The sequence below is a fragment of the Homo sapiens genome, chromosome 11, assembly GCF_000001405.40.
Source record: "Homo sapiens chromosome 11, GRCh38.p14 Primary Assembly".
Taxonomy (NCBI): domain Eukaryota; kingdom Metazoa; phylum Chordata; class Mammalia; order Primates; family Hominidae; genus Homo; species Homo sapiens.
Window position 1 is genome coordinate 134,212,887 of NC_000011.10, and position 11,599 is coordinate 134,224,485.

At 41.0% G+C, this 11,599-nt stretch overlaps 1 protein-coding gene across 5 annotated transcripts in view, besides 3 other annotated features; it reads right to left on the reverse strand.

The window, feature by feature from the left end:
- Nucleotides 1-11,599, reverse strand: part of NCAPD3 (non-SMC condensin II complex subunit D3) — a 75,349-nt gene that overhangs the window by 62,774 nt on the left and 976 nt on the right. For 3 of the 5 annotated variants that reach the window (NM_001372065.1, NM_001372068.1, NM_015261.3), the window contains exons 1-3: nt 10,977-11,081; nt 7,686-7,840; nt 4,050-4,212 (exon numbers count right to left, since the gene is read on the reverse strand). In NM_001372065.1, the coding sequence (NP_001358994.1) occupies nt 4,050-4,212; nt 7,686-7,840; nt 10,977-11,040 (382 nt within the window). In that variant the 5' untranslated portion in view covers nt 11,041-11,081. Of the gene's footprint in view, nt 1-4,049; nt 4,213-7,504; nt 7,606-7,685; nt 7,841-10,976; nt 11,115-11,599 lie in introns of those variants that run through there. The other 2 variants (NM_001372070.1, NM_001372069.1) reach the window with 2 other exon arrangements.
- Nucleotides 995-1,195: a silencer, noted in NCBI's record as "peak1521 fragment used in MPRA reporter construct". NCBI's record gives its function as "represses an SCP1 promoter by STARR-seq MPRAs in K562 erythroleukemia cells {active_cell/tissue: K562}" and the evidence as "EXISTENCE:reporter gene assay evidence [ECO:0000049][PMID:32103011]".
- Nucleotides 3,435-3,635: a silencer, noted in NCBI's record as "peak1522 fragment used in MPRA reporter construct". NCBI's record gives its function as "represses an SCP1 promoter by STARR-seq MPRAs in K562 erythroleukemia cells {active_cell/tissue: K562}" and the evidence as "EXISTENCE:reporter gene assay evidence [ECO:0000049][PMID:32103011]".
- Nucleotides 11,522-11,571: an enhancer, noted in NCBI's record as "active region_5768". NCBI's record gives its function as "activates an Ori minimal core promoter by ATAC-STARR-seq in GM12878 lymphoblastoid cells {active_cell/tissue: GM12878}" and the evidence as "EXISTENCE:reporter gene assay evidence [ECO:0000049][PMID:35858748]".

Sequence of the window (11,599 nt, forward strand, 5' to 3'; positions counted from 1 at the left end):
GAAAAAATTGAGCAAAAAACAGGTTTAAAGAAATAGAAAATAAATAGAAAAATGGCAGAAACCCAGCTACATTGATAATTACTCTAAATGTAATCAGCTAAACAATTTAAACATTCTGATACAAAAGCAAACATTGTCAGAAAGAAGCATGACCAAATGGGCTGGGTGTGAGGGCTCATGCTTACAATCCCAGCCCTTTGGGAGGCTGAAGCAGGAGGATCACTTGAGGCCAAGAGATTGCGACCAGCCTGGGCAACAACATAGCGAGACCCTGTCTCTACAAAAATAAAATAAAGTAATAATAATTAGCTTGTCATGGTGACTCACACTTGTAGTTCCAGCTATTCTGGAGGCTGAGGAGCCCAGGAGTTCAAGGTTAAAGTGAGCTATGATTGCCACTGCACTCCAGCCTGGGTGACAGACTGAGACCCTGGACCTCTCTTTTTTTTTTCTGAGACAGAGTCTCACTGTCACCCAGGCTGGAGTGCAGTGGCACGATCTCAACTCACTGCAACCTCTACTGCCTGGGTTCAAGCGATTCTCCTGCCTCAGCCTCCCGAGTAACTGGGATTACAGACGTGTTACCATATCCGGCTAATTTTTGTATTTTTAGTAGAGACGGGGTTTCACCATGTTGGCCAGGCTGGTCTTAAATGCCTGACTTCAAGTGATCCGCCCGCCTCAGCCTCCCAAAGTGCTGGGACTACAGGTGTGAGCCACCGTGTGTGGCCTCGTCTCTCTTAAAAAAAAAAAAAAGAAAAAGAAAAGCCATGACCACGTGACAGGCAGTCTACAAGAAAACCTTTAAATATAAACATATGGATAGGTTACAAATAAAAGCATGAGAAATGATGTACCAACCAAGGACAAATCTTAAGATAACTATAGTGGCTATCTTAGTATTAGACAAAGTAGACTTCAAGACAAGGAATATAACCAGACAAACAAGGACATAACATAATACTAAAAGGACCAATCCATCAGGAAGACATGACAATCATAAATACATCTGTATCCGTCAGACTTTCACAATATCTTAAGTTAAAAGAACTGAGAGGAGAAATAGATAAACTGATAATTATTCTTAGAGATTCCAACATTCCTCTCTCAACAACAGATAGAACAAATAAACAGAACATCAGGAAGCATATGTAAGTCTTGAATAACATTTGTAACCAACTTGACCTAACTGACATTTACAGAATACTAGATCCAACAAAGGCAAGGTACACATTCTGTTAAAGTGCAAATGGAAGATTCACCAAATTAGACTCTAAGTCCATTAAAAAAAAAGGCACAACTAAATAATTTAAAAGTATCATAATCATATGAAGTATGTTCTCTGATCCCACCAATTAAAACTCAATTACAGTAAGATTTCAGGAAAGTTCAAATATTTGGAAAATAAACTCAATTTACTAAACAACTCAGAGATGTAAGTAATGACAAGAAAAATTTGAAAATCACTTTGGCCTGCACAACAGTAAAAACATATCATCGAAATTTGTGGGATGCAGATGAAGCTGTACCTGGAGGGACATTTATAGTATTAAATACTTGTATTAGAAACAAAGAAATGCATGTGAGAACAAAGATCTAAGCATCTACCTTAAAAAGTCAGAATAAGAGCAAATTAAACCCAAAGTAAGAAGAAAGGAAATCGTAGACATAAGACCAGAAATCAATGAAACAAGAAAGGGACAAACAACAGAATTTAATTAATGACATCAAAAGGGGGCCCTCCAAAATGAACAGTAAAATGAATAAATCTCGATCTAGATTGATCAAGAAAAAACAAAATACAAATCACCAACATCAGGCATGAGAGGAGATCACTAGAAATTCTACAAACATAAACTTCTTTCAAAAAACTCCAGGCCCAGATGACTTCACTAGTGGGTTCTACCAAACATCTGAAGAAAAAAGAAAACCCAAAATCTTCCAAAATACAGAAGAGAAGGGAATACTATGTAACTTATTCTATGAAAATGGTATTACCAAGATACCCAGATACTCAAACCAGACAAAAATATCTCAAAAAAAGAATATCCCTTATGAATATAGACAAAAAACCTTCAACAAAATATTAGCAAACACTCTGACAACATATAAAAAGGATTATACACCATGACCAAGGTCATACAAAATTGGTTTAATATGTGAAAATCAACCAATGTAATATACTATATTAGAATAAGAAACAAAAACCACATGAGCACTTCACAAGTGCAGAAAAGCGAATGACAAAATCCAACAGCCTTTCATAATGAAGCACTCAGTAAACTAGGAATAATAACTTAATAAGGGCCATCCTGAGAAACCCACAGGTAACATCATACCTAAAGGCAAGACTGGATGCTTTCCCCTTAAGATCAGGAATAGACAAGGATCCCCACGCTCCCCTTCTATTCAACACTGTACTGGAGGTTCTAGCCAGGGCAAATAGGTAAGAAAAATAAATAGAAAGAACCCAGACTAGAAAGAAAGAAGTAAACCTGTGTCTATTCACAGATGACATGATCTTACACAAAGAAAACCCTGTTGGAACCAACAAATGAGTTTGGCAAGGTTCTAGGATAGAAGATCAATAATCAAAATCAATTTTGCTTCTATACAGTACTAATAAACCAAAATAAAATTAAGAAAACAATTTCATTTACACTAGCATTGAAAATAACACTTAAGAATAAATTTTAAAGGGGAGATGCAAGAGTTGCGCACCAAAAATTATAGAGCATTATTGAAACAAATTAAAGAAGATCTACAATAAATGGAAAGACATCCTGCGGCTAGGGATTAGAAGACCTAATGTTGTTAAATTGGCAATACTTCACAAACTCATCTACAGTTTCAATGCAATCCCTGTCAAAACCGCAGCTGGCTTTTTTATTGTTGCAGAAATTCACGTACAGATCCTAAAATTCACATGGAAATGCAAGGGAGGCAGAACAACCAAAACGATCCTGAAAAAGAATATACTGTGATCGAATGTTAAGTATCGACAGCATCCCAATCATAAACCCGAAACATTTAAAAACAGAAGGTAACTGGCAGGAATACGGCTTGCTGGAAAGCTGCAAGTGGCCCACGCAATTAGTAACAGCCACCTCTTTGCTCTGGCATAAATCTCAACCTTAATCAGAAGAAACTGCATCTGGCAAGAGGAGAGTGAAACTGGGTTTCTAAAACCACTACTTTTTTGAGAGAGGGCCTAGTTACAACCGAGACACTGCTTAGCAACAAAATCCTTTAGGAACTTACTCATTTCCAAAGTCATGATGGGAGCATTAACAACAACACAAATCAATGTTCAGGGCTTTAAATATAAGACCTTTTTGCCCATTCCCAGATCACATGGAATAAATCCTTTGCTAAACATTTGTAATTAAACAAAGATAAGCAGCAAGGTGACTGATCTTGCCATTCTCTTTTCCATATGAACTTCAGGTTATCTGACTCAATCTCTATGTTCCACTCTCTCTCACCCTGTGTTTGGAGTAGGGAAGAGAATGGATTTCACTGTCATAGGAGGAACAGCCTCCTCAGTGCTCTGACAATCAAGTAAAACAGTGCTCGAAAACAGACTCCTGGTCAGTGCTCTCCTTCAAGTATTACTAGCTGCTTTCCTGCTTTCTTGATTAGAATGGTTTTAATCTATTTTTCAATACCAACATCGGAGAGGTAAAAAGCAATGACTCCCCACAGCAGTATTTCTCAGTCTAGACAAGGAATCATGAGAAGAAAGGGCAATATCAGAATTTTAGACGGCCGTGGTGGAGGGTGGGCGTGGAACTCTTGCACTCCTTCTCAGACTATTTTTATTAGTTTATAGATAGCATAACTTCGGATGAAAAAAAAAAGGGGGAAGGTTTTCCAAGACCTATAACATGCCATGTACTTTAGAGACTTGCTCCTCGCAACAACTCTCTGCCATGGGTTAGCACTGCCCCATTTATAAGTGAAGAAACAAGAAACAAAGTATAAGAATTGAAAACTGTAGAAAGAAAAAAATGACAGAAGATTTATCCTATCATATCAGGTCTACATACCTGGTACTTCTAGTAGCAAAAAGTAAAGCCCAGCGGCATGAAGGCCATATTCTCGATACTGTACACTGACATTCTTCTTATGAACTATTTGAACAAAATGATAGAACAATGCCACCAGTGTACTATGGGAAACATTGTTCTCAATGAAGAAGGTCCAGATACTCTGTGGGGAGACCGCAAATCACAAAAGCCAGTCATTAGAGAAATGGAAACATTTCCTATTATTTGATTTTTGTAAGTTCTTGGTGCCTTACAAAAAGAGGAATAGAGTAGCCTGGCTCCTACTGCTAAATGTTTACCATCTTCAAAGGGACTGAAACAAAATATCAAAATTAAAGGTATATTATTCAAAATTACCAAGATAAATATGTATATAACATATTTAAATAATTAAACTTTCAAAAGAATTTTTTGTTAAGTTTGTAGCATATATACTTCAGAAATTATAGCTTAAAACTACACTAAGACTTTTGGGACACCATATATTAGTGATTATTCAGGAAAGTTATCCCTCTATTTATATTAAAAGGAACTCAAATTCCTTTACCAATAATTACTAACTGAGGAAATCAGAGCCCTTTATTTAAATGTTCTGCAGATTGCAGGCAATGGGAGCAGGAAATGAAAGAGATCTCGGAAATGGCCCAGGTAAAGGAGATAAACCCTAGAAAAGAAACCACAATTGTATTAATTCTATCTTCATTCCATGTCTTCTCCTACTAAACACATGAAGAAGAAATGGGTTATTTTAATAACCTAAACATAGCAGGAACTAAATATGGTTTATCCTTGAGTATCGTAACAAAAAAAGGCCCACAAAATTCAAGTGAGCAGAGCACTCTCCTTTCCTTAACTAAAAAACTTACGGGAGAAATCATCTCCACTGGGCACAATGGCTCATGCCTGTAATCCCAGCACTTTGAGAGGCCAGGGCAGGAGGACTGCTTGAGCCCAGGAGTTTGAGAACAGCCAGGGCAACAAAGCAAGACCTTGTCTCCACAAAAAATAAAAAATTAGCTGGGCGTGGTGGCACACACCTGTAGTCCCAGCTACTCAGGAGGGTGAGGTGGGAGGCTCATGTGAGCCCAATAAGTTGAGGCTGCAGTAAGCTTTGACTGTGCCACTGCATTCCAGCCTGGGTGACAGAGCAAGACCCTGGTCTCAAAAAAAAAAAAGGGGGGGGGGGGAAGAAATCATCTCCTAACTTTACAGTGTCACATCCTCATTCCTAATGCCACCTGCACCTCCACTTCACACACGAGGGTGATCGATCACCCTAAACCATCTGCTCACCAGGGCTCTGCATATGGGGTCACCTTGGCCCCATGTGATCCCATGGCTGCTGTCTAGTCTGGGCGTCAGTGACCCTGCACTCCCTACATGTGACTGCTCCTCTGCAGACCCCGTCCAATCAGCTCTCCATTTCTGTCCTGGCTGCTTCTCACCCTCGGTGATCTCATGCATCACTGTGCTTCAACCCATACCTCAATTTAAAGAACTCTCTTCTCTCTCCTGGTCTCACATTTCTACTACCTGTTAAACTTCCCAAGGATCTCCTGACAGAATCTCAAGTTCAGAAGTCTAAACAGAACTGTTTCTCCATTTGACCTTGCTCTTTTTCCCTTATTCCCCACCTTGGTTAACAATATCATCATCTTCCTAGTTTTGAAACCCTGGGGATCACTGACTTCTTTCTTTTTCTAATTCCCTATGCCCAGTCAGTTTAGCACTTCACACCATGTTTTTAAGATATCTCAAAAGGGCTTCCTAGTTCACAAGGCCCTATTAATTCTAATTCCAAAAATGTCCCTAGTTTTTAGTCTTCCTTTCCAGTTCCCAAAATTGTAACTCCGGATCATGCCATTATTACTCATAACACCTGGATCACCAATACAGTCTCCCAAGGGCTCTCCCTGCACACAATTTTTCCCACTTCAGTCCACCTACTGTCAAGAACGTCTGCTTAAAACAGATCTATTCATGTTACCTATCTATTGCCCACTGTAACCTCTTTCACACAGGCTGCTTGAGGATTAAATGAGTTAATACATGCAGGACGCTTAGAACAAAACCTCATACACACTCTACCAAACATGTTCAAACTCCACTGCTGAACCTCACGTAAAGCTACCCGTGACCTACCCTTACTCTACCTTACCATCCCGTTCCACCACACTTTTTCTGTATGCCTCTTGACACTTCCTGCGTGTTCCCATTGGGTGGCTCCTTCACTAGGACTGCCTTACAACCCAAGCTTCTGCTAGTCATCTGTGAAGATTCGCTGCTGGCCACTTTCTTTCTGGAACTTTCCCAACCCTACCATGCTCCCTTTTTCACACCCTATGCAACAAATCCGCACCTCTCTTGGAGCATTTTTCACAGTGTGGTTCGTAGAATATTTCCAGGCGCCCAAATGCACAGTGGCACTGAACTCTCCACCCCCTGCAACTGCATGTGGCTGCTAGACCTACTTTGGCTAGTGTTCAAATGTCCACTCTTCCTCCCTGAGGTCCCTGGGGAGGACCTCAACCTAGGGAGATTGTATCGTAATCCCCACTCTGTCAACTCAGGTACTTAAGGCAGTGCTTAGTGTTATGCTGAAGGAATGTTTAATTAGATGATTTAATTTTGTGATGTGAAACTTGGAAGTGAATTTTTTTTTGTTCATTTAAATGTTTCAGAGATGTTAATATCCAATTAGCTTTTGTTCTGTTTCCCAACCCTTTGGTTTTTTTTGAAAACTAACAACCTAAATATTAATAATAATTTATATTTCTATGCATTGGATAGAACTCAATATTTACAGGAACTGTTTGGACAAACCTGTTAATTCAACTAGTCATTCCTCAGTTTAATAATATCAGATTTTCTTTTTTTGTGAGACAGAGTCTTGCTCTGTCGCCCAGGCTGGAGTGCAGTGGCGTGATCTCGGCTCACTGTAACCTCCGCCTCCTGGGTTCAAGCAATTATCTGCCCCAGCCTCTCGAGTAGCTGGGATTACAGAAGCCCGCCACCACAACCGGCTAATTTTTGTATTTTTAGTAGAGATGGGGTTTCACCATCTTGGTCAGGCTGGTCTTGAACTCCTGACTTCGTGATCCACCCACCTCGGCCTCCCAAAGTACTGGGATTACAGGCATGAGCCACCATGCCTGGTCGCAGATTTTCTTAAAGTTAAGGTTAAGGCATGTCTGAATTGTTATTTGCATTTTCCTTGGTCTAGTTTTCTTGTTTTTGCCTTTATATTTTTCCTTTTTTTTTTTCCTTCTGAGATGGGGTTTTGCCATGTTGCCCAGGCTAGTCTCAAACTCCTGAGCTCAAGCAACTGGCCAGCCTCAGCCTCTCAAAGTGCTGGGATTACAGACGTAAGACACCACACCCGGCCTTATACTTTTCCTTTAATTTGCTATTGTAAAAAACAGTCGTGTCTTAAAAAAAAAAAATCAGACAAGTACCTTGAAGCTTTTGGAGGAAAGCTCTTAGGATATTCCAATAAATTAACCACATTCTTTATGTTACTCATATTGTACTCCCTGTGAACTGTACACCAAGAAAGCTAAGCTTCAGATTATAATAATGACTTTCATCTTCTACTTCTAACACCAAACTTTGGCTAGTTTGTTTTTATATTTTTACCTCCATAGATCCATGTTCTCCAGTAGCAAAGGGTAAAAGGCTTTCATAGAGTTTTGTGAATGCAGCCAATCCAGTCTCTATGATCTCTGCTTCTATGCTGGGATCCAAAGGCTCAGTCTCTGTGAAATCCAGTTCCCACACTGTGTCAACCCATTCTAGGGGAAAATGCAATGAAATGTGTAAGTACTCTGTAACAAGTAAAAAAACTAGTCACCTTTAGATTCCAGGTGTGTTCAAGAGGAGAAAAGTTTACTAGTCACGATTCACATTTAACTTGTTTTAATAACATAGGTGTAGCATAATAAAAGAAAACCAGAAAAGGTTAAGAGAATCTTAAATCACAACTGACACTGACTATTAAGCTAATCATCTTCTAAAAATATAAAGGAGGAAATACTTTTCAGATACAAGAGTTTTGGGAAAGGACACTTCAAAACATTCAGTGATCAGGCTTTCCCACATGTTCAATCTAGAGAAGAAACAGAGGTTAATCAGATTGCCCACGAGGTTCCTTTGTGAAAATATCATAACCAAGTTAATAAGTGGAAATAAAATATAGAGCACTTTATTGGGCCCTTGGACAATCATGTAGCATTTAAAAAACATATATAATTTCTCCAGGAAGTTTAAAATAGAAGAGGCAACCCAGATTCAGACTCCCAGGAATACTTGGTGACTTTAAAACACACTGATTGAAAGAATGTACATTGAGAGGAGGGGTATTAAGACAGCACGCTGGCTGGATTCCACCAATCTCTCTTAACTCTAAATCTTCCCATTCTTTTCTTTTTCTTTTTTTTTTGGATAAACTTTTTTTTTTAACTTAAAGTTTTTGGGTACATGTGCACAACATGCAGGTTTGTTACATAGGTATACACGTACCATGGTGGTTTGCTGTACCCATCAACCCGTCATCTACATTAGGTATTTCTCCTAATGGTATCCCTCCCCTATCCCTCCATCCCCCCTTCCCATTCTTTTCTAATACACTATATTTCTTCAGTGTTGTCATTGTCACTTTCCCAAACTAAAATTAGGACTAGATGGAAATGTGGACATCTCAAATTATTAATCAGGTGTTCCTTCAAATTAATATTAAAAGTATTTGTTCACCACTGATTTAGAGAAGTTGGGCAAGGTATAAATAAGGAAAAAACAGAGATGGGAGCATTACACTGCACTCGGCAAATGAAAATGAAAGGCCTTACACTCAACTAGTTCCATCCTTAGAATACAATCTGGTCATCATCTTTTGTCACTTGAACTTGACCCTGAAGGAGGGGGTCTCTGTACCCTAAGTGGCTATGCACAGCATTCCTTCCAAAGACATGGAATATGCTGCCTGAAAGAAGATCTGAAAAATACAATTGTTTCTTTCCAAATTTCCAGTAATGTTTTAAAGGTCATTATAGACCACAGCAAAAGTTATCTCACTCCTTCTTTTGGTTTTGCTTATGACAGTTCCCTACTGTAAATACCATCAAATCTAATTTGGATGGCAGTAACTGGCCCTGTTATCTACCATTTGGTCACAGAAGTCTTCAGTGTTGATTGTTGAGTGAGAGTATAGGAGACACTGAGTTAGTCTTTTTCCCTCAGTATCTTTACACTATTCAAATCTCTCACTACCTATTTTCTCAGCTGTCGAATGCAGGTAACTTCTGCTCTGCTACTTCACTTAGGATGGAAGAAGAGGAAGAAATACATCACCTATTCACTCAACAAACACTTTGAGAAAATACTAGGGAAGCCACTTATACTTCTAGGGATATAAAGATGAATACTAGAGGGTTCTTGTCCACAAAGATCTCAACATTTCACACTTAGGATACCAAAAAAAGCAGCCTATGATAGAAGAGAGGCCACTGAATTTTGAGTCAGAACGAGGCAAATATCCTGACTTGATCACTTACACATAATTAGTCTCTCCTTCATCATTGGAAATACAGGATTTTTGTGAAACATAATGTGTATAAAGGCCCTAACAATGTGCTAGCCACATAAAAAACAGTCAATAGATGGTATTTATTATTTTTGCTATGGATGAGTGTTAAAATAATAGATATGTAAAATGTAAAATGCTACAGAGCTTAATAGGGAATAGTACTGGGGGAGGAGGGAGAGGAATAAGATGATTCTTCAATTGGACCTGAATGTAAGAGTTTTGCCAGGCAAATAAATGCAGAAAAGTGCCTCCCAGCAAGCACAGTGTAACAAAGCACACAAAGGGAAAGAAATTAAAGTGTTTCTAAATGAACAAAATTGTTACAGTGTTTGCTTGTGGGTATTAGTATCTGTTCAGCAGTTATTATGTGGCAAGTACAAATTTATCTTTACAAAAACCCCTGTGAGGTAGATATTGTACTCCCCATTTGACAGATCAGAAAACAGGGGTTTAGCAAGGATAAACAACCTGCACGGTAATACATGGATGCTATGGGGTAGAGCCAAGGGAACAATCCAAGTGTGTCCGACTCCAAAGGTTATGCTCTTGGAAAATCAAACTGGAGAGAATGGCAGCTCTTATAAAGCATGCCAAGGATGTGGTCATTTATTTAGGAAACAAAGGGGAAACATTAAAGGTGTACAGGCTTGACACATTCAAAGCTGTGTTTTCAAAAGTCGTTCTGCAAAAGTGTGGGGGATGGGCTGGCACAGTTAACATCAGAAAGCAGCTAAAATACTCCTGCAATTGCTCGAGGCTATGATGAAGGCAGCAGCATCAGGAATGGAGCGGGGCTGCCCTGAGACACCTCAGAGGCAGGACAGTGGTAGTGGGCATGAAAGGGGAAGCAGAAATGCCATGACTCCTGGGTTGGTGGCTTGGATGGTGCCATTAGCAGGCTTTGGGAATCCCATTTTCACTCATGTGACGTTTGATGATGTCTGCATGTGAGACATCCAGTGGAACCTATGAACATGAAGTTCAAGAAATAAGTCTGGCGGAAGAAAGAGATTTGCAATTTAAAACCATCTTAATAGGTAAGAATAGATAGGTGCACGAAGACACGCACAGGAAGAAGGGGAAGGCCGAGAAAACAGATGCACAGGCGCTAGAAGAGACTGGCCAACATTCGCTTATTCTAAGGGTGGCCTGGCCGGCTTGAGCCCCCACGGGAAACCTGGCTAGCCGCAATCCTGGCGTGGCACGGCCCTGGGGACCCCAGGCACCGCCGACAGCCGGGCGCCCCCACCCCGCCCCCACCGGCACCCCGGCCCGGGCTTAGGCATCGTCGGGGACGCATAGGACCCTCGCCCTGGCCCCCGGGCCTCCCGGCTGCATCTGCTCACCGAGTCTAAGATCCAGCGGACACCAGGGCTGCAGGCCGCTACCAAGGCCCCGCAACGCCACCATGATCCCAGGGCACCGGCTCGCCGCCGCCGTGCTCAACTTTCAAAGCTCGCTCCCGCGCGCGCGCCGAGTCGTTCCTGTGGACCAATCACAACGTACAGAATTTCCCACTGGCCAACCACCGCGCCGAGCCGTTTCCATTCGCTCAACCAATCACCGGCGTCGTCCGCCGCACGCTCAGAGAACTGGGCGGGCCGAAAAGTGGAAGCCAAACAAGGCTCCTGCGGGTGTTCCGCTAATTCGTTCGAGAAGGAGCCAGGGCCTGAGTTAAACCCTAACAGCGTTTTTCCCGCCTCGTTTTTCTTCAATGGGGGAAAATCTAAAGGGTATCTGAGATAGGGTACTTCCGGTAGTAACTGTCACCTTTGCCCTCGTCAGGCGACATTTCGCGTGCGTGTCAAAGGGCTGCCTTTCCCGTCAGCACTCGAACAGCGTAATATCCGAATGTGAAAGGCAGCCCAACGTGTATCGAGCTAAAGTAATAAGGGAAAAGTAGCCGAAAGCACTCCGAGAAGACAAGACAACTGCAGTTCTGTAGGGACTGCGCGGCACGCGTGGGCCC